Source organism: Homo sapiens, chromosome 5, assembly GCF_000001405.40.
Source record: "Homo sapiens chromosome 5, GRCh38.p14 Primary Assembly".
Classification (NCBI taxonomy): Eukaryota; Metazoa; Chordata; class Mammalia; order Primates; family Hominidae; genus Homo; species Homo sapiens.
The window spans coordinates 29,191,265-29,193,321 of record NC_000005.10 but is presented as its reverse complement, the minus strand read 5'-3'; the positions used below and the strand labels follow the sequence as shown (position 1 = coordinate 29,193,321).

At 40.0% G+C, this 2,057-nt stretch overlaps 2 annotated features.

Annotated features, from left to right (window-relative positions):
• Positions 964 to 1,510: an enhancer, noted in NCBI's record as "H3K27ac-H3K4me1 hESC enhancer chr5:29191919-29192465 (GRCh37/hg19 assembly coordinates)". NCBI's record gives its function as "activates a minimal SCP1, AML or CMV promoter by ChIP-STARR-seq in naive H9 embryonic stem cells {active_cell/tissue: H9 hESC(naive)}" and the evidence as "EXISTENCE:reporter gene assay evidence [ECO:0000049][PMID:30033119]".
• Positions 1,511 to 2,057: an enhancer, noted in NCBI's record as "H3K27ac-H3K4me1 hESC enhancer chr5:29191372-29191918 (GRCh37/hg19 assembly coordinates)". NCBI's record gives its function as "activates a minimal SCP1, AML or CMV promoter by ChIP-STARR-seq in naive H9 embryonic stem cells {active_cell/tissue: H9 hESC(naive)}" and the evidence as "EXISTENCE:reporter gene assay evidence [ECO:0000049][PMID:30033119]".

Here is a 2,057-nt window from a genome sequence, read left to right as displayed (position 1 = left end):
AAAAATTTACTGGTTTAGAAGAGCTGAATGTCTCGGAAAAAATTGATTATGTAGTTTAGCAGAAGCTGTTGCTGGCACTGCATAAAATAAAGCATAGATTATATGATTCAAATGTACCAAAACAAATGACATTTTTGGAATGAAATTAGAATTGTATTGCTTTCTCTGATCATTTTGGAAACCACTTTGTAATAAAAGATTATTACCATTCATGCATGTGCTGTAGAATCTCTCCAAATGCAGACTCCAGACTGGAAATTGTCCACCAGAACCTACTCAGAAAAAATTAGTAAATAAATAAACAAACAAACTTTTCTGGAACATATTAACAAAAATATTTCACAGAGATAACTTGAGAAAACAAATCTTTTCATTTTTATAAATGAAATAAGTGAATAATCTACTCTCCCTATACCAATATTCTGACTTTGAAATATATAGGGTCCCATGTTCCTCTAAATTTTACAATAATTTTAGAATTATGTGGTGTAGAAACTTATCTCCTTGGCAAAATTAATAACGGGCTTTATTTAAACCACTAATATTCAATTACATTGTAATTATAATTCTCTATTATTTTACAGGATAATTAATTTAATAAAATAAACACAGTTTAACAGGAAAACTGAACTGCAAGGAAATCTATATGTATAAATAGGATGAACTCAGCGAAAACTACCAATACATCTTAATTCTAATAAAGATAAGTAATACGGAAGAGAATAGATTAAACAGTTATATATAGTATATCTTGACATTAATTGAAGTTCCCCTCTCTTGATTTGTATTTGTTTTTTTCTCATCAATTATATTACAAAGATTATCTAGATAAAATTCAAGAGATACATCTACCTTCCTGATTTTCAGACTCACTTGCTAATTATAAAGATAATATTAAAATGAAACTAGAATTCTACTTTTCAATATGATGGCTGTTAACCACATGTGACTAATGAGAAGTTGGAATATGGGTAGTCTGAAATGAGATGTGCTATAAGCATTGAATACACCAAATACACTGAAAAATATACACTGAATTCTGAAGACAGTTTGGACAAAAAAGCATGTAGTACATCCCATTAATTCTTTTCAAATATTGATTATATGTTGATGTAATGCTTTAGAGACACAGGTTTAAATAAAATATATAATTAAAATACATTTAACCTCTGTTTACTTTTTTAATGTGACTACTAGAAAATTAAAATATCAGGGAGCCAAGATGGCCGAGTAGGAACAGCTCCGGTCTACAGCTCCCAGCGTGAGCGACGCAGAAGACGGGTGATTTCTGCATTTCCATCTGAGGTACCGGGTTCATCTCACTAGGGAGTGCCAGACAGTGGGCGCAGGTCAGTGGGTGCACTCATCGTGTGCGAGCCGAAGCAGGGTGAGGCATTGCCTCACTTGGGAGCGCAAGGGGTCAGGGAGTTCCCTTTCCGAGTCAAAGAAAGGGGTGACGGACGCACCTGGAAAATCAGGTCAATCCCACCCGAATACTGCGCTTTTCCGACCAGCTTAAACAATGTCGCACCACGAGATTATATCCTGCACCTGGCTGGGAGGGTCCTACGCCCATGGAGTCTCGCTGATTGCTAGCACAGCAGTCTGAGATTAAACTGCAAGGCGGCAGCGAGGCTGGGGGAGGGGCGCCTGCCATTGCCCAGGCTTGCTTAGGTAAACAAAGCAGCCGGGAAGCTCGAACTGGGTGGAGCCCACCACGGCTCAAGGAGGCCTGCCTGCCTCTCTAGGCTCCACCTCTGGGGTCAGGGCACAGACAAACAAAAAGATAGCAGTAACCTCTGCAGACTTAAATGTCCCTGTCTGACAGCTTTGAAGAGAGCAGTGGTTCTCCCAGCACGCAGCTGGAGATCTGAGAACGGGCAGACTGCCTCCTCAAGTGGGTCCCTGACCCCTGACCCCCGACCCCCGAGCAGCCTAACTGGGAGGCACCCCCCAGCAGGGGCACACTGACACCTCACACGGCAGAGTATTCCAACAGACCTGCAGCTGAGGGTCCTGTCTGTTAGAAGGAAAACTAACAAACAGAAAGGACATAT